Source organism: Homo sapiens, chromosome 10 (genome assembly GCF_000001405.40).
Source record: "Homo sapiens chromosome 10, GRCh38.p14 Primary Assembly".
Taxonomy (NCBI): Eukaryota; Metazoa; Chordata; class Mammalia; order Primates; family Hominidae; genus Homo; species Homo sapiens.
The window spans coordinates 120,636,647-120,661,567 of NC_000010.11; the positions used below are offsets into that span (position 1 = coordinate 120,636,647).

The following is a 24,921-nucleotide window of genomic DNA, read 5'->3' on the forward strand; positions in this document are numbered from 1 at the left end:
CTTGCAGAGACTAATGCTGCAGACCAGTGATTCTCACTAAGTGTACATCTGAATTACCTGGAGGATTTGTTCAAACACAAACTCTTGGACTCCACAGTTTTTGATTCAATTGACAGGGAGTCAGGTCTGATCATTTGCATTTCTAACAACTCCCCAGGTGATGCTGATGCTGCTGATCTAGGAACCAGATTTTGAGAACACTGAGCTAGCCTGAGACACACATGTCCATAGGTATTGAGATAATTGGTACAATAGTGGTTGTGTTGCTATGTTGGTGGAGGCCAGTTTCTTAATGGGTCATCCCAGAGAAGATGGAATCATTGATTGCTCACAGGTAACTTCTAGGCATGCAACAATGGAGAGAAGTGGTTTTCATGAGGCACATCGAGGCACTGTGGCAAATCAAGGAAGAGGGGTCTGGGGATGGGTAGCAACTTTGGCATCCCTGAGAACCACTTGTTGACTGACCCCATGACCTTAGCTGGTACTTGCCCTGACTCAGGGCAAGAGAGGGATGTTTACACCAGAAAATGCTTGGTCTCCTCATGTTAGGGAATAATTCATTTTGTTTCTTTTTTAAGTGAATGTTTCAAAGACATTTGTGCCATTTGACAGATCTTTCAATAAATAATGACAACACCAAGGTGAAGACACTCATGTTCACACAACCAACACATAACAAGTCATTGTCCAGAGGAGGTGTGAAGAACAAGGGGAAGAGATGGTCCTTGCACTCTGGAGCTCTCATCAGCCTCATTGAGGGGCCTCTAAGGAGCCCTAGGATCCACGACACAAGGAAGCAGCTGAGCCATGCCTCATTTATTCATTTGTTTCTTCATTTCCTCTATAAACAAGCATTGTATTATTATTTTAGGAACATTATTGAGCCCCTGACAGAGGAATTGGGAATAAAAATGAATGAGACTCATTCCTCTTATACTGTAATTCAGATTAAGCTTCTGGGTAAATTTGGTGAGTTTTTAACATGCATCTATGACTATTCCCTCTTGAAACAACACTAAAATGACAGAAAAGGGATATTTTGAAAATATAAACCCTCAAGGACAGGGAGGATGAGAGAGATGAAAATAGCAATAACAATTTGGAAGCTGGGAAGCAGACAGACAAGGGTAAAAACACTAATCTGGATCCTAAACCTGCAATGGAAAGGCTGAAGCCAACTTGCTTTCCAGAATACCCTAAAGGACCTGGAATTACTGCAATGGTATATCTGTAAGTGGACGTTAAGGGAAGGAACTAAAATAAGAACGAGGAAAAAGTGGCATCAGAAGTGATTGGTTCCCAGGTTTCTCCTCTCCCTTCTGGAAGACTAGTTTTCCCTCCCTCTGGAGAGGATAAAACAGGATTTCACGAATGGTTTGGCACAGGAGTGCCATACCCAAAATAGAAAAAATAAGCACTGAATGCTGAATGCCAAGCGTCCAGCCCTCTTCCCCAAGTTGACCTCACAATGCTGGTGATTAGGAACCTGCCTCCCCGCAATCCTCACAACAAAGCAGAAAATGAGGAGAGACCTAAATATCCGTTCATCAGACATTCTACAAATAAAAGATCCCACCAGTTCACAGCTTTGAAGTCTGCAATCAACCAGCTCCACACACATGCTCAGAGGCTCCAGTCCCCCACTTTTAAATATAAACAGACAACTAGGGATGGCCAGGCAGCTGAGGAAATCCTCTAACATGGAAGATGGAATTACAAACAAAACAAACTTTGAAGAAACAAGCTACGAAGGGAAAAGGAAATTTCAGAAAATCTGTACTAGGTATCCTCAGAGATACAAAAGAAGACATTGTAACAGTGAAATAAGAACAAGATGTCATTAGAAGGAATATTCTGTCAACAATAACAGTGCAACAACAAAACCATTAGATATTTAAAACGTAAGAAAAATAAAATGTACTATAACACGTGGAAGATGAAAACCTCAGAAAGTAGAGTGTAAAAAGACAAACAAAAATAAGGAAGAAGGGATAAGACCCCAAGGACCAACCTAGAGGTGCAACATCTCAATAACAGGTCTAGGAAGAGAAAAGGAAGAAAACAGGAGGCAACCATCTTTTTATGAAATTATTCAAGAAAATGTAGCAGAACCTGAAGGGGCCCACTGAGTGCTCAGCACCATGGATGAAAATAGACACTCACTACTGTACATAATGGTAAACATTTCAGAAAAGTAGGAACAAAAAGATCTTACAACTTCCAGAGAGTAAAGGCCGTTCATATGTGAAGGGTCAGGAACCAGAAGGGCTCTAGCCTCTCTAAAGCATCACTCAAAGTTAGAAAGTAATGGAAGGACCTTTAACAATCCCATAGGGAAATGGTCTCCCTAATAGATGCTGTCAGTGTCCACTTGTATTCCCAATACTCCCTGAATCTGTGCACGATGACTTGATGGCTTCCAGGACAAGCATCTATAACTCTGGGCTGAGGACTTTCTTGGGACACTCTGAAGGAAAGTGAATGCCCCAGGAGCAGGAGTAGCCACAGTCTTCAACTGAGGATGGGCTCTCTTGCCCTTCAGGTGAGGCATCTCTGAGGTGTGCTCTATGCAGTCTCCCAGAGTTCCCCAGCAAGACTGAGGCCCAGTTGCCCACAATGGTAACCTGTTCCTTCCTGTCCCTGTCTCAATTCCTCATTCTCCTCTTGATGCTCCCAGGATCACCTCCCAAATACAATAATTACCCTAACTTCCTTGTCTTGGGATCTGTTCCTGAGGAAACCCAAATTAAAACACCTGCTGAACTATCAAGTGTCAGGTTAGAACAAAGACATATCCAAACATGCAAAGTTTCGAAGTTTACATTCCAGACACCCTTTCTGGGAAAATATCAGAGAATGTGCTATACAAAAATGGGGCCATAAATCATGGCTATAGGAAGAAGTATCCACTGCAGGACAGAGGTGAGGGGATTCATGAAAATGATGGTAAAAGGAGACGCCAGGGCGACAGCTGGGTACTGGGTGCACAGGGCCACTGGTCCAGCCTGGAGCACAGCTGAAGGTTCTGGGAAAGAGCTTCCTCAGGAAGATGAACTTGAAAGAGTACCAAATGCATCTAAACTTTTTGTGAGGATATTCAGACAATTGTTTATGAGTTTGATCTTAGATTACTAATAAGAACATAGTGTACTATGCAAATTTTTAAAAAGCAACTCCAGGGAATAAACAACTTAGTTATGTTACGATGTCATAATATTGTAAACGCTGAATATTGATCCAATTAAAATAACAATATGGCTCTACTGGGAGAATGGGAAGTAGAAGGACGCACATGGGCAGGGACTAAAGTCCTATCTTCCCTAGTGTAAAATCAATTAAAAATGCCTTAAACTGGTTGGGCACGGTGGCTCATGCCTGTAATCCCAGCACTTTGGGAGGCTGAGGTAGGGCAGATCACCTGAGGTCGGGAGTTTGAGACCAGCCTGACCAACATGGAGAAACCCCGTCTCTACAAAAAATACAAAATTAGTTGGATGTGGTGGCTCATGCCTGTAATCCCAGCTACTCGGGAGGCTGAGGCAGGAGAATCGCTTGAACCCGGGAGGCGGACGTTGCGGTGAGCCGAGATCGCACCATTGCACTCCAGCCTGGGCAACAAGAGCAAAACTCCATCTCAAAAATTCCTTAAACTGAAAAAAAAGAGGTTAATTCAAATCTGCTATATAAAGACATGAAGATGAAAATGAAAACACTGAGCAGAAGGGGGTCAACGTGGCTTGCCCAGATGAACAAGAAATAGTAGAAAAACAGGGATGAAAGGCTTTCTACAACAAATCTTGAACAGTTTGGCTCTTTACACTGTGCGTTTGCCTCCATGCAAACAACCCAAACCTACAATACAATACAGAAGAGAACCTCAGCTGAAGAACCAGCTTTCAGGAAGCTCTGCTTCCAGAGTCTGACTTACATGCTATTTTCTTGTGCCTGCCCCGTGTGAGGGACATTGAAAGTGTAAAGCTCATCTTGGGTTTTCTGGTTGGTTTCTCCAGTTAGATTCTAAGCTCCTTGAACTCAGGGACCCAGGGACTTGGCCAATGCAGCTCCATGTGCCGAGTGCCCACAGTCCCAGGGCCTGGCACACAAGGGGTGCTGCACTGATGTTCATTGAATGCAGTAAAGGAAAGAAGGGAAGATGTCCAACTAGAGAGCCGCACAGGCAGCGGTGATGCAGGGAGCAAGGGCTCAGATCAACCTGAGGGCAGTCTGGTGGTTTTGCAGGAGGACTGGGTGAACTGGTAAGGTGGGGAGGGGCACACCCAGGCAGGTAGAGTAGCTGTGTAAGTGTGAAAAGGCGCTGTGTGCAAGCGTGTGTATGTGTGTGTGTGTGAGCACATGCGTATGCTTAGAGAGTGGAGTAGTCTGAAATGAGACTGTGCTTGTGAGCTGAGGTCAACAGAGACTCTTTGGCCACTCCGTGGGTCTTAGAGGCCAGTTGGCCTCTTCACGCCTAAAGGGATTCCTTAAGCTGATTCCTCATCAGAATCACCAGGGGAGCCTTTTTAACATAGTCTCGAGCCTCAGTCTGAGAGATCATGAGCCGTAGGTCTGTGACTGGATCCAGGAAACTGTATTTGTCAGAAGACTCCCCAGACCTGCGCAGACGAGCCAGCCTTTGGGACAGGCTTGGAAAGAGGGGAAGGTGATGAGGGAGGGAGTGCGCAAGGGCCAAATCTGGGCTTTCGAGTCCAGAGTCACATTGGACTGTTCCTGAAATCCAAAGTGAATGCATTTTAACCTATTTGAATAAGAACAGAATAAATAATGCCTTTGTGTTGATTTGAAAACAAATACTGCAAAAGAGTTACTCTGTGAGCCTTTTATTGCCAAATCCATGGACTTATTGCTGAAATGAAGTGCATTAAATATGAAAAGTTAAGATCGATTTCCAGATGGCCTACTTTCATTACTAGAATTTAATAGGTTCTCTAATTTTCTTTCTTCTGTTTATTAGTAACAGTGAAGTAAGTCCTAAGGTGAGCTAATGTATTTCACACCTAATATGTGACATTGGTACCATTCAAAATATACAATTTTAATGAGGGAGAATGCTTTAAAAATACTCCAAGGAAATGCCATTCCCTAATATGCATAGTGTGATTCCTGTCATGATGTTCATTTATTTCAGTCTTATCTTACTTCAGAATCAACCGATATCCACTGAGTTCTTCCTGTCTGCAAGGCCTGGGTTGGGGAACAGGAAGCTGAACTGCTGTAGGGAATATAAGAAAACATGAGCCATGAGCCCTGTTCAAAAGAAATTTACCAGCTGGCTGAGGAGATAAGACTAAAACACATGAAAAAATTAATAAGGACTTCAGGCTATGATCAAGTGAGAGGTATAAGCAACACAAGCTATAGGAATTCAGATGGGGGGCAGGGAGAGCTATGGGCTCAACTGGTCAGGGAAAGCTTCATGGAGAAGGTGTGATCTGGGCTGGGCTTGAAGGCTGGGTGAGATTTTACTAGACAGAGTTGAGAAGAGACACTCCTGGGGCAGGGGGTAGGAGAGAACCTAAGTCCTGATGGGGGAGGATGTAAGCCACATTCAAGAAGAAGGCTAGATAGAGGTAAAGTCCTTATCTTTGAATTATTCAAGGTGAAACTGTATAAAATGATTAGGGGGTGAACTTGGGAGACCCTGGATGCCAAGATTAAGACCAGTAGGCAGTAGGGAGTGGTTGATGATTTTTGATTTGGTTAGAGAAGAGGCAGATGAACATAGAATTTTGGGAATGCTAATTTGGAGAAGTGTTCAATGAATTAGAAAAGCAATGAGACCAGTTATGAGGCTGATGTAACAGGTAAGTCCAAGGGAATGAGATTCTGAATTAGACCATGGGATTGGCATTGGTTTTTTGTTTCTTTTTTTAAAGGAAGGTAGCCGGAAACGTTGCAATGAACAACTAAGCAGGCTCTATAGCAAGCTATGGTTGGCAGAAGGAAGAGGTTTTGCATGGGAGCCATTGGAGGAGTGATGGTGTTGCTGGTAAAAATAGGAAGGTCTGGTGGGGATGCTGGTCTAAAGAGAAAGAAGACTTCTGTTGTGAGCATGTTGGTGTAAGCAGGCAGCAGAGGAAAATGAAAACAGGCAACTGGAGATGGAATTTTATTTTGGAGAAGATTTGCAACTAGTTATCCCCATGGAGACAAGCTGAAGTTGAAGAGTGAAGAAGATTCATTCATTTATTCATTCACATATTATTTAGCAAATATCTATTGTGCGCCAGCCACTTCCAAAAGTGCTGGGGATCCTGCAAAGCAGATGAATCTCTTGTGGAGCTTGTATTTTGCTGTGGGAAGCTGACCATAGGCAATTTTACAAAGGTTTTGCTACGATTCAAGTATCTGTCCCCTCCAAAACTCATGTGGATGTTTAATCCTCAATGTGACAGTATTGAGAGATGGGGCCTTTAAGAGGTGATTGGGTCATGAAGATTTTGCCCTCATGAATGGATTAGTCCATTTGTGGATTCATGCATGGATCAATGGGTTAATGGATTAATGTGTTATTATGGAAAAGGGACTGTTGGTTTTATAAGAAAAGGAAGAGAGATCAGAGCTAGCAGGCTCAGCCCCTTCATTCTGTGATGCCCTGCACCAATTCAGGACTCTACAGGCAGACCCCACTAGCAAGAAGCTTCTCGCCTCGTGCAGCCCCTTGACCTTGGACTTCTCAGCCTCCATAACAGTATGAAATAAGTTCTTTTTCTTTATAAATTGCCCAGTTTGAGGCATTCTGTTTTTAAGCAGCAGAAAATGGACTAAGAGGACTGGAGGAAGAAAACTGCAAGAGTGAGTGAGCAAGCAAAGGAGCTTCTTTCTTTAGGGTGTGGGAAAAGAAAGCAGAAGCATGATGCAAGCCAGAATGATTCTGAACTTTAAAACAGAGAAGAGGAATCAAGAGCAATCTAAACTGTTGCCTGCCCGGGACCTCTCTGGGGCCCTGCCTGGTTGTCCAATGTACTTTTAGGCACAGACCATGTAGTTTCAGAGGCAGCTGCCAGCCCACTTATTTTGAGGCAGTTCCAACCTTAGATTGTGAATTAACCAAGGAATCTGCATGACAGCTCTCCATGCACGCCTCCTCAAAGGAGCTGGAAAATAAAATCACTGAAGGGCAAGCAGTCGATGTTACCCTCGTGCATTTAAGGGAACCAGTTGGAAAAATAAATCAGTTAGTGGTGTTCTCACATTAATTCCCCATGGGGTCCAGTGATTTCTTTAGAATGCCTGTGGATGCTTCACGATGAGAGCCAAGCTCATGTTCCCATTAGCTAAATGAGGCCTCTCATTACATAGTTCCTGTTGGAGGGGGAATGAGTGATGTTGATGTGACTGATACATATGCATTGGCTGATCAATAATAATGGCAGTGAGCTGAGGTCCTTGTATGAATTTTGCATGAACTCATAACAATGTGAGGAATCAGTGATGGATTGCAACTCTCCCCTTAGTTGGCCAACCCTTACCAAGCTCATTGGGCACACTGTGTAGCAGAAGAGAAGGGATTCTTGGGGGCTTCCAGAGTTTCCCTCTCTGCAGCCTGTGTGTCAGTTCTTCCCCCTACATCTCTCATATGGTACGTGGCCCACAGTAATACAATGATTACTTTCCTGGCTTCCCTCCTGGTATTGGAGTTCTTGAGGACAGAGACTGTTTTTATCAAACTCTATGTCCTCAGTACTTAGTACAGTACATAGCACAGAGCACAGGTGTTCACCGAATGTCTGTGGCATGTGGAGCTCATCTGGATGTCCCTCATGAAGGGGAGGGGTGTGGAGCAGCTATAGGTACTGTTAAGTGGTCAAACCCACCAAAGGAATCCTGGAGAATAAAGAACCAGTTCTTCTTTTTAAATTCAAGAATTACATTCCAGCCCACCTGGAGGAATAGGTGAAAGAGAATGTGCACACATGTCTAGGAAAATCTCAAATGCTCTGCAGACCTGAGATAACTCAGCCTGCAAAGTCCTGTCTGGAAAGGAGTAGAAAGACCAGTGAGTGAATAGGTTCAGCCATGCATGGAATAGGTTCAGCCTGCTGGGCATAGCAGGACCAAGCACCACATACAATGCAGTGACACCAGGGATGGTGCAGGAGACTGCAGGATCCTCTAACTGCCCTCTTGTTTGATACTCTAACTCCCTTCCCTAACACAAAAATAGCCTTGCATGAACTGTGTGCTTCCCCCACCCTCAACAGGCTCCTGAGTTGCAGGAGATTAATGAGGATGGTGAGAAGTAAAAACAATGGAGACCTTGTGGATAGAAGGCAGCAGCTCATTCTTGGCACCAGCTAGAGAAAAGCAAGAGGACAGTAGGGGAGAGCCCTGGGGACTGGGGGAAGGCCCGCCTAGGGAGTGATAGCAGGACTGCTTAGGTTACCAAGGAGATTTCACAGGTTGAGGTATAGAATCATGTTTTTTATTTTCTGTATTTTGTGTTGCTTTAACATCTTGGGGCCTTGCAGACCTGAGGAGGGACTGCCCCTCCCAGGGTTAGCTAATTCCTAGAGATAACAAATGACTTACCTGTGAGCACATCTTTGTTATGAAAATCAACCAATCTAGAGCTCAAACCCCCAACCAGCTCCTTTATCTAACTCACACACAAAGCTGATATTCCCATGGCCCTAAATCACCCTAGAGCCTGGTACTGGATAACTAGAGACCACCCCTATATCCCTGAGCCTGCCAACATTATTCAAATTGGACAAACCTGAGTTGTTTACCCCACCTTGGTTTTCCACGGAAACCACAATAAAAGCCATGCTTATACCATTTTGTTCCTTCTGCCTCCAGACACACCCTGGTGCCTCCCTACATGGCCTGTATGGTACGGGATGCCCCTGTTTCTAGGGATCCGTGAGAATAAAAACTTTTTTCACAATTGTCATTTCCATGTCTGCATATCTTACTATACCTGATTAAGGATTTGTACATTTTAAAGCATGTGGCAAAACACAAAGTTTCCTGTTAGGGATTTAGCAGAAAAGAAAAAGAATCACATGCTCTTTCTCCCAAAGTATCTTCCACTTTGTGTCTTGGGCTCAGTAAAGATGCAGGCCAATTTACTGTGCCTTCTGTATTCACTTTGAGGCACCCCAGATTTTCTCATTAAGTAATATATTGACATATTCAGAGTATTGTATGTAACGAAGCCGATATGTGGATGCTAAAGGTTTTAGAAATTATTTTTAATGGTTGATAGTTAAAAACGAAACAATGGATTCCTGTGTAACGATATGATGCATAGTTTGGATTATTTGCTTCTAAGTTAAAAAAAAAATTAAATAATATGAAAGAAGGAATGGGTTAGGAGCTTCTATACTTCTATACACTGGAAGGAGGGCATTGAAGGACAGTGGAACAAACAGCCTTCAGAGGGACAAAGGGCATAGCTCAAGGGTCTGGGAGTAGGAATCCAGGGGTGGTCTTTTGAGGGTCTGTTCATCAGAATGACTCAGCCCCAACTGCTGTCCTCCTTGTGGGGTTTTGCCCCAAAGTCAGGACAGAGCTGGTGGCTTGGCTTAGGTTGGATGTCCCTCTCTTTGCCCATGGAAGAGGCCATTGTGGTTGACAGTTCCCTGGGCCCATGTCAGGAAGCCGTCCTCCCAATGGAGAGCCCGGAGGAAGTGTGAGGGTGTGTGTTGCAAGGCGGGGGAGCTATGGTCCTATTGCCCTGGGTGCAAAACCTAGATCTGCACTGGGTGGCTATGGGTATGTGGTTTTTGTCTTCCTGTGAGATGAAAATGCTAGCCATCCCACAGGGTAACAATAGGATATATAGTTTGTAATCTTTGCTTATATGTAAGAGAAACCAATTTAAATAAATTAACATGAAAGAAGAAATGGGCTAGGAGTTCCTAGCCCATGGCCACCCTGAGGGTTAGTGTGAAAATTACGTGAAGACCATGCATGTAAAATGCCTGCTCTAGTTCCTGGCATAAAACAGACATTCGAAAATGAAAGCTTTTAATCATAAGATAAAAATCATCCACTGAGTTTGGCCTCAATTAGGCCGAACTCCTCATTCCATATGATTTCTGGCCAATCAGGAATTTTTACTTTTCTAGCTTGTTTTAATTTTTAGAGTTTAATTGTAGCTTCCAAGCACACTCAGGGCCACAAATAAAGCATTTTAAGATTCTTCTAAGTCAAAATGTTTAAGGTAATAAAAAGGCAAATTGTACTCTCCTAGTCAGAGCTTGGTCTGTTTTTCTGGCCACTCTCCTGAGCCCTAACCCTCAGGGTGGCTCTTGCCACTCTCCTGCTGGTGACTTCAGGCACATCACTCCCTTCCCTGGGTTTCAGTTTCTTTGTCTGTAAAGTGAGGGGTGTTAACTGTATAGCTCCAAATAATGACCAACATCTTTACGCTATTTTGAGATTGCAAAGTTCTTTGATATCTATTATGATATTTATTTAATTCTTCAAGTGTAATGTTCAGTCGCTGTGTAAACGTGATAGACATCTTTGCAACCCACCATTGATCAGTGGAAACAGCTGCGCAGCTGCAGTCTTGCTGTTCTGATAGTCCATATGGATTAGTGCTGTTCTTCTCCATAGATCTGCAGATACAACAGCCTCATCTCAATCTCTTAGAAGAGTAGCTGAGGCAAAAAGAAGCCAAGCATGAAGTCCTAGAGAATGGATCTGAACTAATTAGCTTTCCACGCATGCCTTCATCAGGAAACAAGGCACAGTTGTAATATCTTAGGAGCAAGCCTCTTCCCTCTGCCCCCATAAAAAGTAATATTAATGGATTCATTCACAGTAGGATCTGGTTCATTCTCTGGGGTGGAGGGCATGTAGCACCTCACTTCTTGTTCTCCACCAAAGTTAGACTGACCTAGTAGCTTTGTATGTTCCTAAATTGGCTTAATTGTACTGGTGGTGAATGGTAGTGTGAACTTGCCCTTGGAGACCATCAATATCGGATTCGCACAGCTCATAGAATGCCATAGTGGACAAATATTTCCTCCTTTGTGATCCCTGGTGTCTGAGTGCTTCATTCAGTTCTTCATATTAATTGATTTTGGTTTTACCTATCATTATTGTTTGAAGACATTTCTCATTCTCCTACTTAATTTGGTGTGTTTTGTTGGGGGCTGGGGGCTGCAAGTGATTTTAGAGATAATCCACTGTTTTATTGACACAAGTTAGTTGAATCCCAGAGAGGTTAAATGAATGACTGAAGGTTGCAGGGCTCTGAATTCAGATTTCTGACACTCATCCAGAGCCCTTTACACTTCACCAGTCTGCCCAGAAGAAAGACTGCAGGAACATTCTTTTATTACCTCAGGTGTCATTATTGTGAACAAATAGTGACAAAGAGCCAGAGATGCAAGAGTGGAACAGTGGTGGGAGGGAGTGGGAAGGAGGGTAACATTACAAAACTAGATGCAGGTTATAAATGATAGTAGGGAAGTCGACAGTACTCTACATGAAGGCTTACTTTGTAAAACTGAGTTCCCTAAACAGCAGCACGGGATAAAAAGAACTTCAGCCTCAGGTTTCTTAAATTTCATCAATGCCTTTCTATCTGCTTCTGGATCCCAACAAGACATTTTTAGGCACATATGCCGTTTAAAACTAGCTAGCAAGACACTAGGCTGAGTTTGTGTGAGCTGCTTTCCTGACATCCTCATAGAGATGTATTTCTCTCCTGAGCTAGCATGCGGGTTTATCACACAGCATGCAGGAAAGCTCCAGCAGTCTCTGTGCTAGTCCTTCAAAAAAAAGAGACAGACAAAGAAGAGATGGGGCTGGAATGTCTTTCTCTACGCAGGCCTGTCTGAGTGCTCTAGCTCAGTGGGGACATGCTTTGGGGAGGAAGGCAAAGGAAGAAAACGAGAACAAGTCCTCAGCCGGGCATGGCAGCTCACGCCTGTAATCCCAGCACTTTGGGAGGCTGAGGCAGGAGCATGACTTGAGGTCAGCAGTTCGAGACCAGCCTGACCAACATGGTGAAACCCCGTCTCTACTAAAAATGCAAAAATTAGCCGGGCGTGTTGGCAGGCGCCTGTAATCCCAACTACTCAGGAGGCTGAGGCAGGAGAATGGCTTGAACCCAGGAGGCGGAGGTTGCAGTAAGCCAAGATTGCACCATTGCACTTCAGCCTGGGTGACAGAGCGAGACTCCATCTCAAAAAAAAAAAAAAAAAAAAAAAGAACAAGTCCTCCGTTTTGTGCCCAAGAATAGCAGGGTGTTGCACATGGGAAAGGTCCTGAATGGGGCTCTGATACCTTCACTATGAGAGAAATCTCGCCACCCAGGCAAGGTCTCATTCCCATTCCTTCCTGAATCTGCTAAAGCCCCTGGGGAGTTTAGTGATCCTGGGCACCTGAAATCAATCTTGGCACCACTATTTATGATGCATTGTTTTACAGTGACTACCTGTATTTTACTCGACTTCTATTTTGTTATACAGCATAGAAAATTAACCTGATGTGAAACTTCAAAGATTTTGTGTCTCTGAAGAACATGCCACTGACAACCAGACCATATGTGGTACAGATAGTGACACAGATAGTGCCCCAAACGTTGGTCCCAAACTCAAAACAAAAGAAACCTCCTTCACCTCCCCTATGCCCCAGAAAAAGCGCTTCTGGGCTGCTCTCCCTGAGCCCACCCAAGGCAGAGAGATGGTTTAAGATGGGTTCCAGAGCAAGCTTTTGCCAGAGGATTTGGGCCTGTCCACCTGCCTGCAGCTAATGGTTTACTGTTCTTCTCAATGACTGCCCATAAAAACAGATGTGATTATGGTGAAGAAATGCCTGGTGATGAGGTGAGAAGCTGCACACCCTTCAGTTGACTGTGGTCCCTCGGATCTCTAAACTGGCCACAGAAGGTTGGAGGGAGGAAGAGGAAGGGAGGTGAGCCAGCCCCTTGGAAGGTGGGATTCCCTAGGCAGTAAAGGAGCAGGAAATCTGAGGCGCTCCCATTACCCTCTGCTGGCTTAGGGGCAGCATGACTTTCTCTCTGGGGCAGGTGCTGGAAGTCCTCCTTTAAGAGCTGTGGTGTGACCACATCTGGTCACCCCAATGTGGCTTCTTTCTGTGGGGCTTTTTTTCCTTTTAGGAAATGCAGAGGAACCCAGGCTTAAAAAAGAAATAAATTACTTTTACTTTTCACAAAGTATAACCTTCTACAACCAACACAAATGCTTAAAGACTGAAATCATCAAGAAGCGCTGAAAATGAAACTCTTTACACTTGAATACTAGATTCCTGCCTGGACACCATTTGAAACCTCCCTTTAAATAAAGCCATTTGTTTAGGGTGATCCAGCCTGCTGATAGGGAGGCAGGCAAGATTTAGGAGAGGCCACTCCTACCCAGCAAGGCCCTTTCCATTATTGGCCGTTTTTCATTATTATTATATTCCATTAATGGAAATAATATTCCATTATTTCCAATATTCCTTTCTAGCCATGGACATCCTCTACCCAGAGGTGTCTACACAGGGGGCACAATTGACATCAGGATACCTTTTCTTCTTCCCACCCTCTCAACCACAGCCAGTGCAATGTGGTCCACTCCAGGTGGCAGTGTGGCCTGCTAGAGGGATCATCAGATTTGGAGTTCCATATTCTCTACTCACTGCCTGTGGAACCTCAGGCAAGTCACCAGCTCTCCTTGAACCTCAGTTTCTTCCTCTACAAAGTAGGAGCAACATATGTGCCTTGCAGTGTTGTGAAAATTAAATGTGGGCCGGGTGCGGTGGCTCACGCCTGTAATCCCAGCACTTTGGGAGGCCGAGGCGGGTGGATCATGAGGTCAGGAGATCGAGACCATCCTGGCTAACAAGGTGAAACCCCGTCTCTACTAAAAATACAAAAAATTAGCCGGGCGCGGTGGCGGGCGCCTGTAGTCCCAGCTACTCGGGAGGCTGAGGCAGGAGAATGGCGTGAACCCGGGAAGCGGAGCTTGCAGTGAGCCGAGATTGCGCCACTGCAGTCCGCAGTCCGGCCTGGGCGACAGAGCGAGACTCCGTCTCAAAAAAAAAAAAGAAAATTAAATGTGATCATGGATATATGGATATTAAGGCAGGCACAAAGTCCCTGCTCAATGATTGGTAATTCCAATTGTAATTGAAAGATCAGGGACTGGTAAGCTTTTTCTGAAAAAGGCCGGATAGTAAACGTTTTAGACTTTGCAGATTATACCACCTTTGTCATGACCACTCAACTCTCCCTTGTAGAGAAGGCAGCCACAGACAATATGCAAACAGGTGGGTGTGGCTGTGTTCCACTTAAACATTATTCACAAAAAGAGGCAGCCAGAGGATTTGGCTCCCATAGGCCACCCCTGACCTGGAAGACGAGAGTCTAGGAAGGGAGAAGACTAGGAAGGGAATGTCGGATTATCAGTGGCATGTTCTTTAGAGACACAAAACCTTCGAAGTTTCACATCAGGTTAATTTTCTATGCTGTATAACAAAATAGAAGTCAAGTAAAATAGAGTTAGTCATTGTAAAAGAATGCATAGTAAATAGTGGTGCCAAGATTGATTTCTGGTGCCCAGCTAGTCCTCAGCCCCGTGCAGGAGGCCACCCCAGGTCATCCTCCAGGCAATACCACATGACACAGGTCATCCCTATCATACCTGCTCAAGTTCCTCACCCACAGAATCATGAGTAACGGTATGAGTGTTTGGGGCATTACTTGTGTGTTTGTTTAACCATGCAATAGATAACTGACTCCATTTATTGATTGAAAAAATTTACCTAAAAATCCAAATTTCCAGCTTCTGTTGAAAATTCAGATGCTTTGGCCAAATGAACCACTATTTCCACAGGGCTACAATTTCCTGGACCCAAGTATCACTGGTCATCTGTAGATGAGGTCTACAGTCTCCAGGTGGTCTAGCCCCACCCTGTGGTCTCCTTGGTGTCACGTGTTGCCTGTCCTCACACTTACAGAGCTGTTCTCCTTTCTCTTGGCCTGCCTCATTCATTTATGCAAACTGATTGGTTCTTAAAGGCATTTGAGTGTGCTACCCCTAGCTTAGATGGATGGCTTTTTGGGGGCCATGGGTCCCCTTGATCTTTTTGATTGCCACCTGATCTGCTCCTGCATGCCTGGCCTTGGGCTAAGCACTGTGGCAAAGACAACTAGCTGTCGTCAAAAATGTACACTCCTCTCTCCATCCTGGGAGGCAGCTGACCTGGAATGCATTTCCCAGCCTTTCTTACATGCAGGTGTGCTCATGAGCTCAGTCTCGTCAATACAATGAGCTGGGTCTTATGTGCCACTTCCAGGACCAGGGTTTTAAGTGAGTGTTCCTGGCCCACTATTTCTTTCTCCTTACAAGGTTTAAGTACCGACTCCCTAGCTCCTAAGGAATGGCAGGATCATAGCTCAGAAAGAGACTGGGAACTTCATTGTCACCTGGAGCAATGCCGCCTACTGACCACACACTCCCACATCGGGGTGATGTGTGAGCCATAAACTTTCGCTCTTTGGACAGTAACATGTTGGAGTTTGTTTGTTACGGCACCTCATGTTAACACTTCATGCATGCTATCACACTTAGTCTTCACAATAAGCCTTTTTCTAGGAAGGTGTTTCCTCCCCATTTTACAGATAAGATGACGAAGTGGGAAAGCAACTTGCCTGAGTCCCTAGTGAGAGGCAGAGAGGCAGAAGCAGGGTTTGAATGTAGGCAAAAGTGAATTCACCATGAAACTAGTGAAGCTTCAGCTTCAGGGTCCCTTGCTTATACTACTTCCAAAACTCTGGACCATGTTAATGTGGTCATACATTTTTGTAAAATTTGCACAAGTAAAGTATCTTGTCTGCAATCAGTTAAGATTACTGTCTCTTTCCACTCCAGGTTCCCCTCCATCTGCTTCACTCTTTCTTACTGGTTTGACTTTGCAGTGGCTGTTGGTATGTCTGGGGTCTAACTAAGGGGATGATGAATTGGGTAGCATTTGGTTTAGTTAGTGGAAGATTTGTTCATGGTTTGCAACCACTTCTGTATCAGGTTATTGTTTGTTCTCGAGATGTAAGCATGACTTCCAGGAACATTCCTACCACTAACTGTGCCAACTCACCTCAAATCAGGACAGGTTATATCTGGTATTTTACACCAGGAATAAAGAAGAGAAGAAATGAAGCTTTACCTGTATGAAGCTATGAGGTCGATCTGTGGAGAATTCTTCCAAAAGTTACATCTCAAATACAAAAAGAATATGATGGACTTTTCCCAAATTTAACAACAATCCTAAAACTTGTATGGCATTACCGATGACAAGTTGTGAACACAAATGTTTCTAAGTTATCAACAAATATAAAACAAATATTGGTCAATCATGTTAGAGGAAAGGCTCAATTAGCTTCCTATTTTACTTCATCCAAAAATGTTAAAAAGGAAATCAGAGAGTAAGTAAACAAAAAAATTATAGAAAAAATATAGAAACCAGACAGTGATTAATAAAATTATCGTATTATTTTATGGAGATCTTGACTGCAATATTTGTCAAATTTATAAAATTTGAAATTTACTGTAGCTCCTTTTTGCATTCTAAATAAGCTTTATAGTCACATTTTTTGTTCTTTTTTTCTTGAAGGAATCTCAAAGATTATATGAGCTTTTGACCCCATGAAACTTGTACTGCTTGTAATCTAGGAACTCTGAATATAAAGTACATATTGTTGATAGCAGGGCTGTGCCACACCAGAGCTGATCACAGTTGTGGAGACTGCCCCTGGAAAAAACACACTTGCTAACACTCACCTGCAATTCTCCATTTGATTTCATATTTACAGACAAGCCTCTGTCTCTGAGGCTAATTCAAACACTGCTGGCTGAGTTGACTGCACACTCTGTTCCTACGTTTCCAAATAGTGCATTACAAGATTATTAATTTTTTAACACAACTTTGTTTACTATCTCCAGAATTTATGAGGTGCTCGCTAGAAGAAATTTGCTCTTCATGAAGGGGATTGCCTTGCACTGTCTGGAATTTGTGCAATCTCAGGGCTGTTCAGGCAGACTCACCAGCAGCAAGGAGGCCTCTGGGAACTTCCTACTTTCTGCATTTCCTATGCCTCGAGCCTACCTGGAACCCCCAGGTTCTGCTGTCGCTGGTCATCTCAATTGCAAAGGAGGGTGCGGCAGAGGAGGTGTTAGGCATGTGGGCCCAAGCTAGCTTTCCCATCGTTTATATTTTTTCTTTTCAAATTTATGATTACTGAAGTATTTTTTGTGTGTTTGGTCATAATTTTGTCATCTTTCATTCTAGCTTTCGGGGTTATTTTTCGATGGGGAGAGATTCTGTTTGGTTTTACTTCCTTGCTATGACCTTGGTTTTCTCATTTCCAGCATGAATATCATGGTGGTTTGTTTGCCTTCATTTTCTAGGGCAAATGAAAGTTATAAACCTGATTTTAGGTATTTTTAAAGAATATTGAAACTACAATTTCTGTAATTATCAAAGTCAAGAGTGAAATCGTGCCTTCTGACTTAATCTAATATAAAAGAAAAATTAAAGATGCATTTTCTCACTCCATTTAGGTTTTGGGAATATAGCGTAGAGATTAAAACTCCTGTTTTGAAGGATATTTGTATTCAAACTTCTCACATTCATTCTTTGAGAAAAGTTGTTTTCATAATTACTTGAGCCACTTGTCTGAGTTTTCCAGAGTTCATCATCTTTGCTTCTATCTAAGGGCCTGAGATAAAGCACTTTTAAAATCTAGGTTTCTAGAAATCTCTTTCTCAGCTCCAAGAACTCGGTGGCATCATAATCAGGATTGTCATTTTCTGTATTCATCCTGTAGCTGTATGTTCGTGGTCTCCCCCAGGGAAATGGGTATTGTCCTGCTTTTTAAAGGACTCTTTAAAAAGTATAGTCACAATAAATGTGGCACTTAAAGTTTTGGGATCCAACTTACGTGAGTATTTAGAGTAGTCAAATTCATAGAGACATAAAGTAGAATGGGGGTGCCAGAAGCTGGGGGAGAAGAGAAGGGGAGTTGTTTAATGGGTGCAATTTAGCAAGATGCAAAGAGTTATGTGCATGGATAGTGGTGATGATAGCACAATAATGTGAATATACTTAATACCACTGAACTGTATACTCAGAAATGGTTAAAATGGTACATTATATGTTATGTCTATTTTACTACAATTAAAATTATTTTAAAATCTTTATAGGATCAAATATCTAGAGATAATACTTATTGAATTTGTGTTAGATTTTTTTTTTTACCTCATTTTTCCCCCCCACCAAGTCTATTGGTGACTTTTATCAGAGTTGGATCCAGTAGGTCTAGAGCGGAGTCTGGGCATCTGTGGATTTTTAAAAGTGATTTGGGTAATTCTGACTCTCTTCATTGATATCTCTGTTCTATTATCCGATTGCAAATGGTACCTTTCACTGACTTTGTCTCTTACCCAATGGTCAACTCTTTGAGAACAGATAAATATTCTGCTCACCCCTGCCCTCCCTACAGCATCTAGCAAAGCTCTTGTAAACAGAAGATGTTCAATAAATAGCTGTTTATTGAGATGAGAGGAAAACCTAAAGTATAAATATTCCATGCACGGTGGTGTTACCCATTGACTTATCAAAGGCTACCATCCTCTCTAAGCTCTAGAAAGGGTTACCTGCTTCTGATTTCCTGTAAGACACTAGGGAACTGTGCTCTGTGACCAGACTTCCTTGGACTCTCAGCATGAGTTCTAATTGACCCAATCATCAGATGCTCTTCTTAAGTGTGCAAACTAACATGAAAGAATAGTTTTTGTTCTATAAAAGTTTAGAAAAGGTAAAAGAAAAGAAGAGTCTTCTCCTCTTATCAGGTTCTTCAGTACCTTGGTTCTCTCTAGTCTAAACAAGAAAGGTAAGTGCCATATGATGAAGGTGTCAGATAAGCACAACTCCTACTGAGGTGTCCTATGCTGTGTGAGACAACCAAGGGCCCTGGATGCCTGGGGACAATGATGAAACCAGCAGCATAAAGCCAGATTTATGGACAAGTAAATTGTTTATATCAGGATTTCCCCTGTTCGTTGTAGAGAAGATATTTTCCAAAAATAAACCAGGACTTATCAGTTCAAAAAATGCTCCTTTATTAGTCTGTATTCCCAATTTTTCTGTGATAAACATGTTATACTTAGAAACAGAAATAATCATTATTTACAAATCAGGATCCCTGATTTCAAACCTATAAGACATTTGTTATGAGTTGGAAGGTTGCCCATCTTTTAATGCCCAACTGCGAATAACCAACAGGATTCTTTAAAAATTATTAGGGCCATTGACTTTGATTTGACCATATAAGAAGTAATAAAGATCAAAACCTTACCTGACTAGGGACTAGTTCATCTATTAATTCATTCAGCTAATAATTATTGCATGCCTACTGTGTGCCAGACACTAGATGAGATGCTGCACATCTTTCAGTGAACAAGATTACCCCAATCCCTAAAGACCTTATGTTTCTGAGAGAGAGAGACGCTAAATAATTTTTAATAAACAGCCTCATTGAGACATAACTGACATATAATAAGTTGCACATATTTAAGGTGCTCATTGTGATGAAATTTGACAGGAAGATACACTTGTGACACCATCACCACAATTAAGATAGTGAACATATCCATCACCTCCAAAGGCTTCCTCTTGTCCGTTTGTAATCTTTTCCACCCACTTGTCTCCACTTCCCCATTCTCAGGTAACCACTGATCCACTTTTGGTCACTATAGACTAGTTTGCATTTTTAAGGATTTTCTGTAAATAGAATCAGAGAATATGCCCTCCTGTTGTCTGGCTTCTTTTACTCAGCATAGTTATTTTGAGCTTCACCACTGTTGTTGAATATATCAAAAATTCATTCCTTTTAATTGCTGAGTAGTATTTCATTGTATGGGTATACTACAGATTTTTGTTCCTTCACCTTGATGGACATGTAGATTGTCTTTAGTTTTTGGCTATTTTAATTAAAGCTTCCATGAATATTCATGTGCAAATCTTTATATAAATATATTCTTCCATTTTTCTTGGGTAAATGCCTAGGAGTAGAATGGCTGGATTACATTATATATGTATGTTTAACTTTTTAAGAAATTGTTTTTCAAGGTGCTTTTTACTGTTTTGCACCCCCAAAAGCAGTGGATGAGTGTTCCAGTTTTTCCACATCCTTGTCACTAATTGGTATGGTCAGTCTATTTAATTTTAGCCATTCTAATAGCATGTCATGGTATTTCATTATGATTTAATTTGCATTCTAGTGGCTGATAAACATGACTAATATTACAAATATTATGAGTTTGTGTAAGTGGGAAGCAAAATCTCAACTACGTGAGTGCCTTTTCTCGAGAATACTGATTATTATACAATTCCCAAAGCCTAATACATATCTTTCCAGTGGATCTAGTTTTTGTGTGAATCTGACAGTCACTTGAGTAATAATCTGATATTTGGCTACTCTCTGCCTCTTCTGTAGGCTAATAATCTCTGTTTGGATATGGATATGCCTGAATATTTCCCTGAACTGGGCCATTTTCAGCTCAGTGAATTTATGGGTGTTTAATAAATGCCTAATCTTTCCCAGCCCCAATCCTACCCCTCACATTCCACTTGTGCCAACCTTTCCCAAGGAATGAGTTCCTCTACAAGTGAAATGTTCAGAGCCTTTTTCTTTAGCTTGCACAAAGATAAAGGTGAAATCTTGCTTTTGTGTCATTTGCTGTGTGGTTACATAACAAGATCGCTGGCCCCAAGACAGAGCTGAAGGGAGTGAGGAATAGAATACTTGAGTCCTAAGTCAGGGAAAAAGAAAACGGATGCAGATATGGCTCATCCTGCCAGAAGCCTCCAGGCCCACACTGCTGTCTTGCAAAGTGGCTCAGCAACTCCGTGGTGTAGGGCCTTGGCTGCTTATGAGAGGGAGCAGGGTGGGATGACTTTGCTTTTTGAGTCTGAAACAAGGAACCAGATTGCTTGGCACCCTGGGTGTTCCTTTGCTCCAATATGAGTTTCTACAACTAAGAAAGAGAAAAAACAAAATATAGCAGAAAGCACACTCTTTAGTTTACTGGTTTTATGTTTCTACTTAATCTTCATAGTTGATTATTCCTTGGTCAAAATGAAAATTCCTTTTCTCATTTCCTCAAATATTTAAAATAATGCCTTAGTTGTGGCCAAACAGATTAAAAGAAAAATAAACATTAAGTGAATGTCCCTTGGTGATATTTGCAGGAAAAGTGAAGACATTGAATATTGCCAAGAGCCATTCCCAGCTACCTCATGAAGCTAAGCAAAGGTTCTCAGCAATCAGGGAAATTAAAACACTTCTCTGCAGAATTATCAGCCCTCACCTTTTCTTTGTACCAGGCAGTTTAGTCTTGACAATCCCTTGCGTTGTACCTTCTCTGCTCCCCCTAGCCCTATATTGTCTTATCTCTTGTACCACCTGAATGTCAATGACAACACTGATTTTATTGGCTTTCTATATTTAGGACCCTTTATCACTGATTTAATGTTGCAATCTCTTTGTCATCCCTAAGAATATTCTACTGCAAGTACTTGTTAAAGTTAGAAGTCTAAATTAATTTTATTTGGAACTTACTGATACGTGTTGTGAGATGGCTTGAGACAATATCGCATCCAGTCATGAGACAAATTTTTCCTAAAAAGAGGATCAGGTTGGCCTAGTGTGGGCTTGGGGTCTGTCACTAGTCTCATTGAGTAGCCAGGAGGAGCAGGGAGGTGTGGCACAAATATGACCACAGGGACCACCTTTGCATGTCCTCGAAGAAAGGGGAAGAGCACATAGTGGACACTCCAAACCTGTCTGCTATGTGGAGAAAAAGAGCAATGGATCCTAGCTCCACTTTCCAAATAAGACTAGCTCACCTACTGACTTGCATTCAACACTATTCTGTGACAGCAGTGTGTACCACTGGCATCATCCTGGTTACCATAAATGTTTATTGAGTGACAGGCCTGGTGCTAAGTATCTATGAGCATTATTTTTTTCAATTCTCATGCAACCCTAAGAGACAGATGCTATCATTATCCAAATATCATGGATGAGGTTAAGTTACTTGCCCAACATGATACAACTGGTTAGAGGCAGAACAATTCTATCCAAGTCCATCTTGCTCCAAAGCACAGTCTTGAAGCATCATGCCAGGGTACCTCTCATAGTTTTCTGATGATTCCTTTATAGATCTGTTACATCCTAATAAGCCAAATGTCTCTCTCCAGCTGGCTATGATAATCATTCACGGCAAATTTATTACACGTGGCTTCAACTGGCTTCTCTAGTTCTTGCTTCTCTGCCCTAAGCACTGATTTTCTAAGGACCGTAATTCTCCTAGAAAGATTTTGCAAATCACATGATAGTCTTTTCCCAAGGTTCAAAGAAGTAAACAAAAAGAAAAGAAATACCCAAAGCTGCTTTCTAAGACTCTGACAATAATCTGCAGGAGATGTAAATTCTAAGTGACTACCATCTTCAGCAATTTCTAGCACAGTCTCTGGGTGTTTAGCCAATTCAAAATATTATAGTGTCCTCACTATGTTATAATTTTTTCAAAATAATATCAAATGCCAAAGCTTTCCTTTCCATCTTGATTTGTGTTGTAAATAGCTCTATTTAATTGTTTGCCATTATCTTTACTGATATCGCTTTTAAAATTTTAGTATCATTTTAGGGACACAGCTTGGTATTGGCTATAACACAATATGTTCTCTCTCTGAAGAGAGACCACAATTATTTGAGATGTGTTCAGGCGTCTCCCCTCATTTTACATTATGAGGAATATTCATGAGTATGCTATCAATATTCAAACAGGACACATTAAATTTTGCTCCTGGGGAAAAGCTGTGTAACGGTCAAACATAAAATTAAGATCTTGCCTGCTCTTTAGAAGAATGATGTTTATCTCCCCCCTGCAAGAAAGACTCCAGATGGTAACCAAGATTTGCAAAAGATGAAACTGCTCCCCAATTCATTTCTTCCAGGCTGATGTTCAGCTCTCATTAAGTCCTAAAATGTTAAAAAAGATGCTTGTTTTGATTCCTTAAAGACTTATGATACTACTGGCTGATGTCCACCTTCCCCTCCCCCAAATCTGAGAGAAGTAAGTGAATATTTTCTCTGCTGAAGCATTTAGAATGGGTAATTGCTTTCATGCCAGACATTTTTGTGAAATCAAATAGTAAACAGGGTTTTAAATTCTGTTTCCCTCAAGTTGCATGAGCTTAAAAAAATTTCTGTGGAGAATTTTATTTCTTGTGCTGCAACTTTAATAACTCCATTAAGGCTCCTGCTTTCTTTCTGATCCCCAGCTGTGTATATTTGGGTGTGGAATGTAATTTTCTCTGGCTACAGCTAGAAGGAAGCTTCTTAAAATGTTCAATTTCTTCTAAAATGTGAAACACAATCAAGTTTCTCCTGGGAAAATAATGAGCATTTATTGACTAATTCAAGAGTCTGCAGACTTTTTCTGTAAAGGGCCAGATAGTAAATATTTTAGGTTTTACAGATTATATGGTCTCTGTTGTAAGTCTCTTCTCTACCTGTGTAGTGTGAAAGCAGGTATATAATACTAACTGAGGATGGCTGTGTTCCAAAAAATACTTTACTTATGGACGTTGACATTTGAATTTCAAATAACTTGTACATGTCATTAGTATTATTTTGCTTTTTTTTAATCAACCATACGAAAATATAGCAACCATGTTTTGCTCAGGAATGACACAAAAAACAGACAGCAAGTCAGATTTGGCCCATGGGTCCATTTGCTGACTCATGTACTAATTCATTAGGCCAATTTTTTTTTTGAACATCTACTATGTACAGTGAGAAAAACAGACATAATACTTGCCCTTACATTGCTTATGGAAGAGAAAACTATTTGGAAATATTGAAAACAAGGACATTTTCAAGTTTGGGAGAAAGGACAGCTTGCATTTACTTAATCATGTCCCAGGCAATGCCTCCAAAAATCTTGACCATAGGCAGTTCTGTACAGTTATGTCTGAGTATCGCTAAAAGCTGAGGAATATTTGTCTCGAGTTGGCTTATAGCCCCATGTGGCAGGAACAGAAGCCATTTCTCAGTCTGTGAAATGCAGGGACTTAATTTCCCTCAATAAATTCACACTAAAGATGGTAAGCTCCTTGAGAGTAGAACATTGTACTTGATCTGTATCTCTGCTGTGAGCACAGGTCAGCCCAGTGGAAAAAGGTTATGTGTAAAAGCACTCAGAGTTCCTTAGAACTGCACTGTCTAATATGGTAGCCACTTCTTGTGGTGTCTATTTAAATTTAGATTTAAATTAAATGTAATTGCGTTTAAAATTTATTTTCTTTTTGCATTAGCCACATTCAAGTACGCAATAACTGCATGCATTGGACAGTGCAGATGCATGTTTCCACTATCATAGATTGTTCCCTTGGGCAGAGATGCTTTAGAACATAGGGATACTTTTCTTCCCTCTGCTGTTGCACCCAAGCAAATTCATTGTGAAACTATGAGTTCTGTAATCTCATCCTCCCTTGGCAAATGGTGAAGAGGTATTTTGGAGTACAAGAATGAAGGTGGTTGTACTATCGGATGGCAGCAGCATTGTGTGATAGTCATTGAACCTCCCTGAATTCCCACATAAAAAGAGATAAAAGTAACTCAACAATAATTGAGAAACTCATAGTCAATATTTACAAAAACATTAAATGATTAGGTATCCCTCACAAAATCCAAGATACAAATAGGTGGGGACAAACCTCCAACAGCCAGGGAACCTCTATGTGGAAAGAAGTGGAGGGAAGTAATGGGGCATTAGAAGCCATGAATGAGGAACCCAAATACCCAGAAGATATTCACAGCAAAACAATCTTACTAATTTTTGAACAATGAATAAAACTGGGAGTAAG

At 41.8% G+C, this 24,921-nt stretch overlaps 1 long non-coding RNA gene across 2 annotated transcripts in view, besides 1 other annotated feature; it reads left to right on the forward strand.

The window, feature by feature from the left end:
- The window catches only part of LINC02930 (long intergenic non-protein coding RNA 2930), a 216,730-nt gene that overhangs the window by 28,065 nt on the left and 163,744 nt on the right, over window positions 1-24,921 (forward strand). The gene's annotated exons all lie outside the window — the stretch shown is intronic.
- Window positions 8,089-8,882: an enhancer, noted in NCBI's record as "NANOG hESC enhancer chr10:122404247-122405040 (GRCh37/hg19 assembly coordinates)". NCBI's record gives its function as "activates a minimal SCP1, AML or CMV promoter by ChIP-STARR-seq in naive H9 embryonic stem cells {active_cell/tissue: H9 hESC(naive)}" and the evidence as "EXISTENCE:reporter gene assay evidence [ECO:0000049][PMID:30033119]".